This window comes from Homo sapiens, chromosome 17, assembly GCF_000001405.40.
Source record: "Homo sapiens chromosome 17, GRCh38.p14 Primary Assembly".
Lineage (NCBI taxonomy): Eukaryota > Metazoa > Chordata > Mammalia > Primates > Hominidae > Homo > Homo sapiens.
Window position 1 is genome coordinate 5,364,568 of NC_000017.11, and position 12,064 is coordinate 5,376,631.

The following is a 12,064-nucleotide window of genomic DNA, read 5'->3' on the forward strand; positions in this document are numbered from 1 at the left end:
ACTAAAAATGCAAAATTAGCCAGGTGTGGTGGTGCATGCCTGTAATCCCAGCTACTCGGGAGGCTGAGGCAGGAGAATCCCTTGAACCCCAGGAGGTGGAGGTTGCAGTGAGCCGAGATTGCAGAGCGAGAGACTCTTGTCTCAAAAAAAAAAAAAAAAAAATTTACCCTGAAGACTTTGAGAGGCATTTAGAGTTTTAAGTAGGGAAATTATATTATTTCACTTTTATAAAATTTCTGGTGTTAGTGTGGATTGTAGACTGGAGACAGAGGATACACTCTAGTTAGGGAGAACAGTGTCATGGTCTAGAGGATCTGAGGGAGAAGCAGATGTTTTCAGATGAGATGTGTGTGAAAAATGATTTGTTAACTGTAAACCACAGTACAGTTGTCTCTTGAGGTCATTTATCTAATTTCTGTCTGAATTAGAAAATCTGTGGTGTTTCCCAGAAAAAGACATAAGAGATTTTTTTTTAAAATTCTGGAGTTAGATTTAAAAAAAAAAAAATTATAAAAGGATTCTGGTTTTTCTAATTGACTTTTAAAATGATACAGGTGAAAAAACTACAGCTGATGCTAAGGCAAGCTAATGACCAGTTAGAGAAGACAATGAAAGATAAGCAGGAGCTGGAAGACTTCATAAAGCAAAGCAGCGAAGATTCGAGTCACCAGGTAAGGGAGGGTTTATAGACTGTGGCCCATGAGGGATGACTGGGTTATTTAAATGAAAGATTCAAAAAATATAGTCATGTTTTTTTTTGCCTTGAAGATTTGGCAGTTTTATTTTCCCTCAGGTAAAAAGATTTCTTACTGATCATTCTGTGATCTCTGTTTTACAGATTTTTAAAGAATAACTTTCAAAATAATTGGTCAGTAAATGCCAGGAGGTTCTGATTCTCCTTTCCTTTATTTGTATTAGTTAGGTTTTCCTGCTGCACTGGAAACTTGCTGACAAAGATACTAATTATTTTCTTTTAAACTTTTTAAAAGTATAGCAACATGAAAGAAAAAAAAAACATATACAGATACACCAAACATACCAGAACCAACATCTGTGTAACCACCATTGAGATCAAGCAATAGAATATTAGCTGGTACCCCAGAAGCCCTCACTTTCCCCGCACTTACAACTCCCTCCCGACAGGCAGCCACTGTCCTAACTTGTAACACCATTAGATTAGCCTGTGCTTTAACTTTAGAAAATGAAGCCATACGTTCTGTGTTCTTTTGCGTCTGTGTTCCTCCGTTCAACAGTGTACTATTCCTACTCGTGATGCACGGAGTGTTTGTTCATTTTCATTGTTGAATAGTCATATCATTATACGGATATACCGCAATTTATCCAGACTAATGTTGATGGATATTTCAGTTGTTTCCAGTTCTGGGATATTATGAATAATGTTCCTTTGAAATTTTTGTATAGGGCGTGGTGGACATGTTTCTGCAGGATATGTAACTAGGGGTGGAATGCTTGGGTACAAATGTTCAAAATGCCAAATAATTTTCCAGAGTGGTTATACCAGTTTATACCTCCACCAGCAATGTATGAGAGTTCCTGTGGTTCCAAGGTGTGGAAAAATGTCATTTTGTTATTTTAATTATAGCCATTTCGGTGGATGTATAATGGTATTTCACTGTGGCTTAGTTTGCATTTCTCTAATGACCACTGAAGTTACTTAGCATTTTTCATGTTTCTTGGCCATTGGGATTTTCTGTGTGTGAGAGATTCCTGCTCAAGTCTTATCCTCATCTTTTTATTGGGTGGTCTGTTTATTTTACTTTTTTTGGTCTTTAAAAACTGATTTGTTAGGTGTCCTTTATATAATGTTAGAATCTTTTGGTGATAGGTGTTGCAGGTGTCTTTTACTCAGTAGCTTATATTTTTTGTTTTGTTTTTGAGATGGAATCTTGCTCTGTCACCCAGTCTGGAGTGCAGTGGTGCAACTTCGGCTCTCTGCAACCTCTGTTTCCCGGGTTCAAGCAGTTTTCCTGCCTCAGCCTCCTGAGTAGCTGGGATTACAGGCACTTACCACCACACCTGGCTAATTTTTGTAGTTTTAGTAGAGATGGGGTTTCACGTTGTTGGCCAGGCTGGTCCTGAACTCCTGACCTCAGGTGATCCACTTGCCTCGGCCTCCCAAAGTGCTAGGTGTGAGCCATGCACCTGGCCCATCAGTAGCTTATGTCTTCATTAATGGTGTCTTTTAATGAACAGAAGTCCTTAATAATGTAGTCAAATTTGGCCGGGCACGGTGGCTCACACCTGTAATCCCAGCACTTTGGGAGGCCGAGGCGGGCAGATTACCTGAGGTCAGGAGTTTGAGACCAGCCTGACCAACATGGAGAAACCCTGTCTCTACTAAAAATACAAAATTAGCCGAGTGTTTCGGCGCATTCCTGTAATCCCAGCCACTTGGGAGGCTGAGGCAGGAGAATCGCTTGAACCCGGGAGGCGGAGGTTGCAGTGAGCCAAGGTCATGCCATTGCACTCCCGCCTGGGCAACAAGAGTGAAACTCCGTCTGAAAGAAAAAAAAAAATCAAATTTATTAATTATTTCTTTATGGTTTGTGATTTTCCTCCTTTTTAAAAAGGAATCTTTTCCTATGGAGTTATGAAGATATCCTATATTATAGAGGTTTTATTCACATTTATATCTAAAATTCCTCTAGAACTTAGATACACACACACACACACACACACACACAGTGTAGATAAGGGTAAAACTTTTTTGTCTCGCTGTGTCGCCCAGGCTAGAGTGCAGTGGCACGATCTTGGCTCACTGCAACGTCTGCCTCCCAGGTTCAAGCGATTCTCCTGCCTCAGCCTCCTGAGTAGCTGGGACTACAGGCACCCGCCACCACGCCCGGCTAATTTTTTATTTTTAGTAGAGACGGGGTTTCACCATCTTGGCCAGGCTGGTCTCGAACTCCTGACTTTGTGATCCATCCGCCTCGGCCTCCCAAAGTGCTAGGATTACAGGCGTGAGTCACCGTGCCCAGCCAAGGGTAAAACTTTTTTTTAAAAAAAGTATGGATAGCCAATTTCTGTATGACTTGGTGAAAAGATCCACCTTTCCCCCATTGCTCTGTGTAGATTAGTTTCAGAACTATCTTCTGTTCAGTTGGTCTGTTTGCCTTTTTTTTGTGCTAAATTCTGCACTGTGATTTATGTGAAATAAAATTTTCTCTCTTTTTTTTTTAAACCCGAGATGGAGTTTTGCTCTTGTTGCCCAGGCTAGAGTACAGGGTGCGTTCTGGGCTCACTGCAACCTCTGCCTCCCGGTTTTCAAGCAATTCTCCTGCCTCAGCCTCCCGAGTAGCTGGAATACAGGTGCCCGCCACCACACCCAGCTAATTTTTTTTTACTTTTAGTAGAGATGGGGTTTTACCATGCAGGCCAGGCTGGTCTCGAACTCCTGACCTCAGGTGATCTGCCCGCCTCAGCCTCCCAAAGTGCTGGGATTACAGGCATAAGCCACTGCACCCAGCCTGATTTTTTTTTTAAACATCTTTAAACATAGCTACAACTAGGTCACGTGAGTTACTGTCTGCCTAGAAACCCATAGAATGCTCTTTGTTAATGTATGGCTGCATGTGACTCGGGTTTTGGCACTGCCTTGTGTTATCTGAAAGGCCAAGGCTTTGCACATAGCAGATGTGCATGCAGCTGTTGGATGATGGTCAGTGGTTCCCATGAACAAATAAAATGTCAATTCCAGACACTAAATAGTTAGAAGATGGAAGAGTTAGTTTCAGAATAACCGATTTCCTAACTATGTTTCTATACATGTGTTTTTTTAAAGATCTCTGCACTCGTCCTAAGAGCCCAGGCCTCCGAGATCTTACTTGAAGAGTTACAGCAGGGGCTTTCCCAGGCAAAGAGGGATGTTCAGGAACAGATGGTAAGTTTACATTTTAAGTAAATGACAACTATGTTACTATATATTCCTTTTTTGTTCTATCTTGACATCATCTTTGATAGGAATTTATCATCCTGTCCAAAGTAGTTACTGTTGTCTTCTCCCGGGACTGTAGAACATTAATAATGGACAAAATATTGTAAAGACATTATTCCTTTTTTAAACCTACTTTCTGGCCAAACAAAAATTTTTTCTCATCGTTTAACTTATTTTTCTGATTTGGGAAACCTAAACAGAATAAACTATGGACCTAATTTAATTTTTAATTCCAAATAAAAGCTAAAAAATTGAATGTCTGAGAGCCCTAGCTGGTACAGCTTTTGACCAGTCATTTTGTGATTTTCCTGGATGGCTAATTTATTTAGAATAACCTTATTAGGGCTGGGCTGAGGCGGGTGGATCACGAGGTCAGGAGATTGAGACCATCCTGTCTAACATGGTGAAACCCCATCTGTACTAAAAATACAAAAAACTAGCCGGGCGTGGTGGTGTGCACCTGCAAATCCCAGCTACTCGGGAGGCTGAGGCAGGAGAAGCGCTTGAACCTGGGAGGCTGAAGTTGCAGTGAGCTGAGATCGCGCCACTGCACTCCAGCCTGGGTGACACAGCAAGACTCTCTTTCAAAAGAAAAAAAAAATAACCTTATTAGTTTCACAGGGGTTATGAAAAAAAACATGTAACTGTTGTGGTGCTGGGGACCTTCCAGAAGGCCATCTATGCTGAGAGGGATGGGGGCAGAGTGTTATGAGCAAGTGCCGGCTAGAGCCTTTGCAGATAGTCCCCAGGCTTGGGCTCCCTCCTCACTAGTCTGGCTGCATTTGCTTTGTTTTTCCTTTCTCAAAGTTGGAGCCTACATCTGATGCCTCCAACTAAATTAAAGTAGAGGTGGCTCTGCTGGGGTGATTCTACAAGGCTGATGCTTACCCGGGGATGACAGTTTAAAAATAAAAGCCTTGGGTGGAATGGTCATTGAATGTTTTTAATTGGCATTATTAGGTCAGTATCTGAATGGCCTATGAGCTGATCCCTAAATCTTAAACCTGGTCTGTTGGGAAGCATCTCATCCTAATCATTGACCCATAGTTTCATGTGTTTTCTCTAATTAGAAAATACAATATAACACTGGCGTAAAAATCACTGCTAAATACTGACAGTTTCATAGCGGTGAGCCTCCTACACTCCTTCGACCCCTTGCATCTTTTTCCTTCTTGTCTTTTTTTTTTTCTTTTTTGAGACAGAGTTCTGCTTTTGTTGCCTAGGCTGGAGTGTAATGGCGCAATCTCGGCTCACTGCAACCTCCTCCTCCTGGGTTCAAGTGATTCTCCTGCCTCAGCCTCCTGAGTAGCTGGGATTACAGGCATGCACCACCACACCCGGCTAATTTTGTATTTTTAGTAGAGACGGGGTTTCTCCATGTTGGTCGGGCTGGTCTCGAACTCCTACCTCAGGTGATCCACCCGCGTTGGCCTCCCAAAGTGCTGGGATTACAGGCATGAGCCACTGTGCCCGGCCTCCTTCTTGTCTCTTAAAACCATCAGCCCTTGCAGACACTTTTCAAGCTGGTTTCACTTAAAATGAATGTGTGTCAGTGACACTGGAGAACTGTTGAAATTAAGGTTGAGGTCCTATGAACTCCAGTACATGACCATTTTGTTGAAATTACCATAAAGAAGAGAAACTCACCACGTTAGTGCATGCTTGCCCTTGTTCTTAGTCTTTCTGTGTATGTTTGTAGGTATATGATGTGTGTGTGTACGTATGTCTTGGTTTGTGTTTTTTGCTGGACTGTTTGGAGTTATTGTAGACATGACAGTCGTAAGTATTTTAGTATGTATTTCCTAAAACAAAGAGTTGTTCTGCATCGCTACAGTACTGTTATTACATCCTTAAAATTTAACCAGTTGTCCCAGTAAGTCCTTGATTACTTTTTAGTGGTGGTTTTCCTTTTTATATTTTCTATATTTTGATCCAGGAACCAATCAGTGATCACATATTTCATCTTGTTGCCATGTCGCTTTAGTCACTTTTCATCTAGAACAGTCTCCCACTCTCTTTTTATTTTTAAGAATCCGGCCAATTGCTTTGTTTCAGGCCATCTGTCTTGTAGAATTCATTTGTCTGATTATCTCCTTGTGATTTGATTCAGGTTAGACATCTTGGCAAGAATACTGCACAGATGAAATGGTTCAATGGGAGGTTCATAACATAATGAGGCACGTTAATGATGGGTGCTTCCATTACTGGGGATGTTAAATTTGATCACTCGGTTAAGGTGGGGACAAAATAGTTTCAGAATGACTATATCAATATTACTACCAACAGCAAATCTACTAAGTAAAGGCCAACATTTCTTTGTAGTTCTGCCCTTAGACTGTATCTCAGATAAGGGTTTACAGTTTAAGTACTGTGTTCAAATGTTAGTTTTTCTCTCTGTGGTTGTATTAGGAATTTGATATATAGTTAGCTCCATTTGTTTCTCTTTTTTTTTTTTTGTTTTTGAGACGGAGTCTTGCTCTGTCGCCCAGGTTGGAGTGCAGTGGCGCGATCTCGGCTCACTGCAAGCTCCGCCTCCCGGGCTCACGCCATTCTCCTGCCTCAGCCTCTGGAGTAGCTGGGACTACATGCGCCCGCCACCACGCCTGGAGAATTTTTTGTTTTTTCAGTGGAGACGGGGTTTCACCGTGTTAGCCAGGATGGTCTCGATCTCCTGACCTCGTGATCCACCCGCCTCGGCCTCCCAAAGTGCTGGGATTACAGGCGTGAGCCACTGCGCCTGGGCTGTTTCTCTTTATATTACATTTTCAGATTTGATTTTTCTTTCTTGATTTATATTTTGAATATGTAACATGGTTCATAATCAAAAGTATAAAAATAAATACTCAGCTCCATTTCCATTCCCTGTCCTTTTCACCCCATTTCCACTCACTCTTATACGTAATTATTTTAATTTATTTTTGGCTTATCCTTCTGTTTTTCTCTTTACAAAAACAAGCAAATATATACATATTCTTTTTTCCCTTCTTTCATATCCAGAAGGTGGTGGGATACTAAGATTTTGTTGTAAATGGGTGACAGTGATCATAAAGCACAGTGGATTCTAGTCTGAAGACAATAAGAGCCAGTGGGCTTTAGCCAGAGCATATGCATGGCCGTGACTGCCTGTCTTAGGCCTGTTTGTCCTTCAGAATGCAGCTCAGTCATCGCCTCCTCTGGGAAGTGTTCTTTAACCCTCTTCCCAATTTCCTGCCCCAAATTAGGTACCCCTTTGTCCTTTTATCACTGCAGTACCCAATCTCTGTCATAGCAGTTTATGGTATTGTAGAGTAGTTTTTGGTTTACTTGTCTTTCTCCTCTATTGGACCATGAGCTTCTCCAGGGCAAAGTCTTTGTCTTTTATCTCTGTATTTCCTGTGGGCAGCAAAACACGTGGCATAGAGTAGTAGCTGCACAATAAACATCGTATGAGAGCATCATCTACATGTATGTGTGCCCTTAAGGTAAGTGACTTTAGTACTACAGATTAGCAGGAGTCACGTGCTTTTGTAGAGCTTTATCTGATACTCGGATTTGGTGGATAACTTTTATATTGATACAAATAATATGAAATACCTAAAATTGTTTTACACATCAACAAGCAGAAGTGGGAGTGTGTCCCATTTTAAGAATAAGCTTCTCTGGCTGGGTGCGGTGGCTCACGCCTGTAATCCCAGTACTTTGGGAGGCTGAGGTGGGCGGATCACGAGGTCAGGAGATTGAGACCAGCCTGGCCAACATAGTGAAACCCTGCCTCTACTAAAAATACAAAAAAATGAGCTGGGCGTGGTGGTGCGTGCCTGTAGTCCCAGCTACTTGGGAGGCTGAGGCAGGAGAATCACTTGAACCGGGACTCGGGAGGTGGAGGTTGCAGTGAGCCGAGATCACACCACTGCATTCCAGCCTGGGCTACAGAGCGAGACTGTCTCAAAAGAAAAAAAAGAATAAGCTTCTCAAGTGCTCTGTGATTCCTGAGCTTAGATGCTCTTGATGACTTCCAGTATCTGGGCCTGCTGGGCCATTCACAGTGATTCCGAGCCTAAACAGAGGTATACATAATAGGAAATGAAGACACTACTCTGTTTCTCCCTCCTTTCTGTCCAGTGCACGCCATGGGGAAATGGGAGTTGTCTTAGAGTACATGCTCTGTCTGATATAGGTCTTGATGGTGTCAGCCACTTCCATTGAACTAGAGATCCTGGTCCTTCTGTAGTACAGGGATATGGAGGGAAAATATTAATTTTTTTTTTTTTTTGAGATGGAGTCTTGCTCTGTGGCCCAGGATGGGCGCAACGGTGCAATCTCGGCTCACTGCAACCTCCGCCTCCTGGGTTCAAGCGATTCTCCGGCCTCAGCCTCCCTCCCTAGTTGCTGGGATTACAGGCACCCCGCTGTACCCAGCTAACTTTCTGCATTTTAGTAGAGACAGGGTTTCACTGTTTTGCCCAGGCTGGTCTCAAACTCCTGAGCTCAGGCAATCCACCCACCTCAGCCTCCCAAAGTGTTGGGATTACAGGCGTGAGCCACCACACCCAACCAAAAGATAGAATTTTTAAGCGGTTTGTAGAAACAGTGGAGAATGAGCCTCAGATACTTGCTTCATTGCCTGTCCCTTGTTGAATATATGCTGTAAACCAGAAAATCTCTGTGCAGCTTTTTCTAAGTCTAGCAGAACTTCACCATACCCCGTCCATCCTCAGCACTCCTTTAGTTTGGACTTGTTTTTCTCTGGTGTAGCTATCACCAGACCGGATCTACCTTTCTGGCTGTGATTAGTATCTACTTCTATTTTAGGCGGTGCTGATGCAGTCACGGGAACAGGTTTCAGAAGAGCTGGTGAGGTTACAGAAAGATAATGACAGTCTCCAGGGAAAGCACAGCCTGCATGTGTCATTACAGCAAGCAGAAGACTTCATCCTCCCAGACACTACAGAGGTAACTTACTTTCCACATGATCAAAAATGTCAACAAGTACGTTTTCTGAAATGGCCGTATGTTCTTTATGTAAACAGTTTTATTCAGATATAATTCACGTGCCAATTCAACCATTTAAAATGTACCATTCAGTGGTTTTTGCTGTACTCACAGATGTGTGCAACCATCATCACAATCAATTTTAGAACATTTTCATCACCTCAAGTAGTAACTCCCTGTGACCCGACTACACCAGCTAAACACACACACACACACACACACACACACACACACACACACACACGAAAAAGTAACACTTCGCCCTTTAGCTACCATCCTTATTCCCCCTCCTCCCCTAGCCTTAAGCAACTACTAACCTTTCTGCCTCTATAGATTTCCCTATTCTGGACTTTCCTATGAATAGAATCATACGATATGTGGTCTTTTGTGTCCATGTTCTTTCACGTAGCCTTAATGTTTTGAAGATCTATGTTATTTTTGTCGGCCCAGATTGAGAGTGTGCCAGAAATTAAATGTTTGAAGGGGTTACCATGCTGGCTGCTTATGACGTTTGTTTTTGTATCTAGTACTTGAAAAGTTATAACACACTCACCATCATGCTGTCCATAAAGATGACACTTTTGTTTCTTTTTGAGACAGATAATATCTGTCACCCAGGCTGGAGTGCAATGGCATCATCTCTGCTCACTGCAACCTCCGCCTCACAGGTTTAAACGATTCTCCTGCCTCAGCCTCCCCAGTAGCTGGGATTACAAGCGCCTGCCACCATGCCCAGCTAATTTTTTGCATTTATAGTATAGATGGGGTTTCACCATGTTTGCCAGGCTGGTCTTGAGCTCCTGACCTCACGTGAGCCACCATGCCCAGCCAAAGATGGCACTTTTGGTCACTTACATTCTTCTGTGGTTGGGTAAACCTGGGCTACAAAACTGGTTTCCCAGAGACATTCATAATTCTCTCCTTAACTTTATCCAAGCTTAATTTTTAATTTTTATTTTTTGAGACACAGTTTCATTCTGTCCCCTAGGCTGGAGTGCAGTGGTGTGATCTTGGCTCACTGCAACCTCCGCCTCCTGGGTTCAAGTGATTCTCCTGCCTCAGCCTCCCGAGTAGCTGGGATTACAGGCGTGCGCCAGCACGCTGGGCTAATTTGTTTCTGTATTTTTATTTTTTTTATTATTTTTTATTTTATTTTTATTTTTTGAGATGGAGTCTTGCTCTGTCACCCAGGCTGGAGTGCAGTGGCGCAACCTAGGCTTACTGCAACCTCTGTCTCCCAGGTTCAAGTGATTCTCCTGCCTCAGCTTCCTGAGTACTGGGACAACAGGCGCGTGCCACTGTGCCTGGCAAATTTTTTAAAATATTTTTTAGTAGAGATGGGGTTTCACCACATTGGCTAGGCTGGTCTCCAACTCCTGACCTCGTGATCCGCCCGCCTTGGCCTCCCAAAGTGCGGGGATTACAGGCATCAGCCACCGCACCTGGCCTTTTTTTGTATTTTTAGTAGAGATGCGGTTTCGCCATGTTGGCCAGGCTGGTCTCGAACTCCTGATCTCAGGTGATTAGCCTGCTTCGGCCTCCCAAAGTGCTGGGATTGCAGGCATGAGACACCGTGCCTGTCCTATCCAATCTTTATACCTGTTTCTTTTTTTTTTTTTTTTTCCTTTTTAAGGAAATCTTAGTAAGTAGAAGTTTCCCCTAATTATACCCTACAGATTCAATCTCTATAATTTGGACCTCATTCTTTTTTCCTATATATGTATTAACATGACTGTTATTTTTTATGTTTATTTCATCATTTACAAAAAACCAGTTGCCTATCTTGCCATTAGCTCTTTGCTGTCTCCCACCTTTCCCCAACTTCTTATCGTCTCAGCTCATGTTACAGGCACTCTTGGCAGAGCCTTCTTTCCTTTCTGAATTGGTGACTGCTGTCATCAAAAGAAGGTATCGGGGGCAGGGTATGGTGGCTGAGGCCTGCAATCCTAGCACTTTGGGAGGCCAAGGCAGGCAGATTGCTTGAGGTCAGGAGTTCAACACCAGCCTGGACAACATGGCAAAACCCCGATGCTACTGAAACAAACAAAAAAAATTAGCCAAGGATGGTGGCACACACTTGTAGTAGTCCCAGCTACAACTACTTGGGAGGCTGAGGTGGGAGGGGTCGCCTGAGCCCAGGAGGTCAAAGCTGCAGTGAGCTGAGATCGCGCCACTGCCCTCCAGCCTGGGAGACAGAGTGAGGACCCTGTCTCAATTAAAAAAAAAAAGGTTTTGGGAACCTGTCTACTTTTGCTATCAGCTTAAAATCACTGTTTACCACCTTCCACCTGTTAGATTTTTCTCTTTTGTCAGGAAAGAATCCTGTCTTCCATGTTCTTTAGAGACTTTATTCCTAGATTTTATTTCATTTTATTTATTTATTTATTTATTTATTTTGAGACAGAGTCTTGCTCTGTCACCCAGGCTGGAGTGCAGTGGTGTAATCTCAGCTTATTGCAACCTCCGCCTTCTGGGTTCAAGCAATTCTCCTGCCTCTGCCTCCTGAGTAGCTGGGACTACAGGTGTGTGCCACCATGTCTGGCTACCATGTTGGCCAGGCTGGTCTCGAATTCTCGACCTCAAGGAATCCGCCTTCCTCGGCTTCCCAAAAGTGCTGGGATTACAGGCTTTAGCCACCGCGCCTGCCTAGTCCTAGATCTTAAAATGTTCCAAGAATCCAGGCCGGGCACAGTGGCACTTGCCTGTAATCCCAGCACATTGGGAGGTTGAAGTGGGAGTTTTGCTTGAGCCCAGGAGTTTGAGTCTGTGGTGAGATATGATTATGCCATTGCACTCCATACTCCAGTCTGGGTGACAGAGGAAGATCCTGTCTCAAGAAAAAGAAAAAAAAAGTTCCAAGAATCCTTGAAGAATGTAGTCAGTGTGTAATCCTTGATTCTTGGACCTGCTTCAGCAATAAATCTTAGGAAATTTTAAAAACTGTTGTTTTATATATATTGTTATTTGAGAATCTCGTTTTTACTTTAGAGTTGCTTTAGGATATAATTGGAAGGATTTCTAAAAGAAGACAGAACTAAAATTTAGGAAGAAAAATAAATTCTATACTGAATTTATTACAGAAAAACAGCTTACCACCTTAGAAAGCCACCTTTGCCATTATTTACCTCTGGCCTAAGG

At 42.9% G+C, this 12,064-nt stretch overlaps 1 protein-coding gene across 8 annotated transcripts in view; it reads left to right on the forward strand.

Moving 5' to 3' along the window:
* The window catches only part of RABEP1 (rabaptin, RAB GTPase binding effector protein 1), a 104,057-nt gene that overhangs the window by 82,284 nt on the left and 9,709 nt on the right, over positions 1–12,064 (forward strand). For all 8 annotated transcript variants that reach the window (XM_047437039.1, XM_047437038.1, XM_011524060.3 and 5 more), the window contains 3 exons: positions 555–671; positions 3,803–3,901; positions 8,747–8,887. In XM_047437039.1, the coding sequence (XP_047292995.1) occupies positions 555–671; positions 3,803–3,901; positions 8,747–8,887 (357 nt within the window). The remainder of the gene's footprint in view (positions 1–554; positions 672–3,802; positions 3,902–8,746; positions 8,888–12,064) is intronic.